Below are 2,291 nucleotides of genomic sequence, written 5' to 3'. Positions count from 1 at the left end.
CATCAGCTCCTTTAAGCACTTCTCTGTATTGGTTATTCTAGTTATACATTCTTCTAAATTTTTTTCAAAGTTTTCAACTTCTTTGCCTTTGGTTTGAATGTCCTCCCGTAGCTCAGAGTAATTTGATCGTCTGAAGCCTACTTCTCTCAGCTCGTCAAAGTCATTCTCCATCCAGCTTTGTTCTGTTGCTGGTGAGGAGCTGCGTTCCTTTGGAGGAGGAGAGGTGCTCTGATTTTTAGAACTTCCAGTTTTTCTGTTCTGTTTTTTCCCCATGTTTGTGGTTTTATCTACTTTTGGTCTTTGATGATGGTGATGTACAGATGGGTTTTTGGTGTGGATGTCCTTTCTGTTTGTTAGTTTTCCTTCTAACAGACAGGACCCTCAGCTGCAGGTCTGTTGGAATATCCTGCCGTGTGAGGTGTCAGTGTGCCCCTGCTGGGGGGTGCCTCCCAGTTAGGCTGCTCGGGGGTCAGGGGTCAGGGACCCACTTGAAGAGGCAGTCTGCTGGTTCTCAGATCTCCAGCTGCGTGCTGGGAGAACCACTGCTCTCTTCAAAGCTGTCAGACAGGGACATTTAAGTCTGCAGAGGTTACTGCTGTCTTTTTGTTTGTCTGTGCCCTGCCCCCAGAGGTGGAGCCTACAGAGGCAGGCAGGCCTCCTTGAGCTGTGGTGGGCTCCACCCAGTTCGAGCTTCCAGGCTGCTTTGTTTACCTAAGCAAGCCTGGGCAATGGTGGGCGCCCCTCCCCCAGCCTGGCTGCTGCCTTGCAGTTTGATCACAGACTGCTGTGCTAGAAATCAGCGAGATTCCGTGGGCGTAGGACCCTCAGAGCCAGGCGTGGGATATAGTCTCGTGGTGCGCCGTTTTTTAAGCCGGTCTGAAAAGCGCAATATTCGGGTGGGAGTGACCCGATTTTCCAGGTGCGTCTGTCACCCCTTTCTTTGACTTGGAAAGGGATCTCCCTGACCCCTTGGGCTTCCCAGGTGAGGCAATGCCTCGCCCTGCTTCGGCTCGCGCACCGTGCGCGCACCCACTGGCCTGCGCCCACTGTCTGGCACTCCCTAGTGAGCTGAACCCGGTACCTCAGATGGAAATGCAGAAATCACCGGTCTTCCGCGTCGGTCACGCTGGGAGCTGTAGACAGGAGCTGTTCCTATTTGGCCATCTTGGCTCCTCCCTCCATTTTCTCTTTTTTTCTTAGTCTGGTTAAAGGTTCATCAATATTGTTTCACATTTCAAAAAACCACCTTCTTATTTCATTGATAATTTGTATTTTTTTTCATTTCAATTCCATTTATTTCTGCTTTGGTCTTTATGCTTTTTCTTCTGCTTGTTTTGGGTTTGGTTTGCTCTTGCTTTTCTAGTTCTTTAAGACGCATCATTAGATGGTTTATTTGAAGTTTTTCCTCTTTTTAAATGTAGGCACTTGTAACTATAAGCTTCTTTCTGAGTACATCTTTTGCTGTATCCCGTAAGTTTTGGTATGTTGTGTTTCCATTATCATTTGTTTCAAAAAAATTCTCAGTTTTTTTCTTAATTTATTCATTGACCCACTGGTCATTCAAGAGCACATTGTTTAATTTCCATGTATTTGTATAGTTTCCAAAATTCCTCTTGTTATTGATTTCTAGCTTTACTCCACGGTGGTCAGAGAAGATGCTTGACATTATTTCAATTTTTAAAAATGTTTTAAGACTTGTTTTGTGACCTAACATATGGCCTATCCTTAAGAAGATCTATGTGCTGAGGAAAAGAATGTATTCTGCAGCTCTTGGATGAAATGTTTTGTAAATATCTATTAAATCCAATTGTGCAGATTAAATCTGATGTTTCTTTGTTGATTTTCTCTCTTAAAGATGCTGAAAGTGGGGCGCTGAAGTGTCCAGCTATTTTGTACTGGGGCCTATCTGTCTCTTTAGCTCTAACAATATTTCCTTTATATATCTGGGTGCTTCAGTGTTGGGTGTATATATATTTAAAATTGTTCTATCCTCTTGCTGAATTGGCCTCTTTATCATTATAAAGTTACTTTCTTTGTCTCTTCTTATGGTTTTTGTCTTGAAATCTATTTGTCTGATGTAAGTATAGTGACTCCTGATCTTTTATTTATTTACTTAATTTTTTAAGACAGAGTCTCACTCTGTTACCCAAGCTGTAGGGCAGTGATGAGAGCTTAGTTCACTGCAGGCTTGACCTTTCAGGCTCGAGTGATTCTCCCACCTCAGCCTCCCAAGTAGCTGGGACTACAGGTGTGCACAACCAAACCTAGCAAATTTTAGTATTTTTTGTAGA

The 2,291-nt window shown here is 43.6% G+C and overlaps 1 annotated feature.

Annotated features, from left to right (window-relative positions):
* Window positions 319-904: an enhancer, noted in NCBI's record as "NANOG-H3K27ac-H3K4me1 hESC enhancer chr3:135377721-135378306 (GRCh37/hg19 assembly coordinates)". NCBI's record gives its function as "activates a minimal SCP1, AML or CMV promoter by ChIP-STARR-seq in naive H9 embryonic stem cells {active_cell/tissue: H9 hESC(naive)}" and the evidence as "EXISTENCE:reporter gene assay evidence [ECO:0000049][PMID:30033119]".

The sequence above is a fragment of the Homo sapiens genome, chromosome 3 (assembly GCF_000001405.40).
Source record: "Homo sapiens chromosome 3, GRCh38.p14 Primary Assembly".
In the NCBI taxonomy this organism is placed as follows: domain Eukaryota; kingdom Metazoa; phylum Chordata; class Mammalia; order Primates; family Hominidae; genus Homo; species Homo sapiens.
Note: the sequence above shows the minus strand (reverse complement) of the source record. Positions and strands in the feature narration are given on the sequence as shown.